At 36.2% G+C, this 806-nt stretch overlaps 1 annotated feature.

The window, feature by feature from the left end:
* Positions 236-443: a silencer, noted in NCBI's record as "fragment chr14:47215033-47215240 (GRCh37/hg19 assembly coordinates)". NCBI's record gives its function as "represses an EF-1alpha promoter that drives an FKBP-Casp9 reporter gene in an ReSE screen in phorbol 12-myristate 13-acetate-treated (for megakaryocytic differentiation) K562 erythroleukemia cells {active_cell/tissue: K562(+PMA)}" and the evidence as "EXISTENCE:reporter gene assay evidence [ECO:0000049][PMID:32094911]".

Genomic DNA, 806 nt, shown 5'->3' on the forward strand with positions numbered 1-806 from the left:
GACAGTTTTGGGTAACGACAAGGTATAGGATATTGCCAGGGGAAGAAGTGTCTGAGACAGGAAGGAGTACAAGATGCAAAACAATGTTAAGAAACTGAAACGTAAGCTATTAGAATAATCATTGATTTTAGAATTCCAAGAATTATATAGTCCTGTTGGAGATATGAGTTTGAAAATCTTCAAGGAGTTAAAGGGCAGGGGCTGGTGGCAGTAAATCACCATGATAAGGAGGCTTAATGAGTGATTTAGTCTGATAATAGAAGAGATTCAAAGCTGTGTGGTTGACATGTTGGGAAATGGTCACAAGTGACAAAAAGGAGCACCATCCTTACAGTAACACAGTAGGGTGGGGGAAACCCAGTACTTGAGAGGGCATCAGAGGAAGTAACGTCTTCAGATTAATAAACAGTGTTTTTTTTTCCCATTTGTTTAGATGTCCTTTAATATCTCAGCAAAGTTTTGTACTTTACAGAGTATAGATCTTGCACATTTTTTGCCAGACTTATCTCTAAGTATTTCAAACTTTTTAAATCTATTGCAAATGATAGTGTTTATTTAATTTAAATTTTTGATAATTGACTGCTTGTAGATTTTAAAGTGCGATTAAAAACACAAACATTTATTATCTTACAAATTTCTGAGGGCTAAGAATCCGGACGCAGTTTAGCTGTGTGATTTTCATTCAGAATGTTTCATGAGTTTGCTGTCAAAATGTTGACCAAACTCACATACTCTCAAGGCTTGACTGGGGCAGGAGAATATACATTCAAGCTCATTCAGCTCCTTTCAAGCACTGGAAAAAAAGC

Source organism: Homo sapiens, chromosome 14 (genome assembly GCF_000001405.40).
Source record: "Homo sapiens chromosome 14, GRCh38.p14 Primary Assembly".
Classification (NCBI taxonomy): Eukaryota; Metazoa; Chordata; class Mammalia; order Primates; family Hominidae; genus Homo; species Homo sapiens.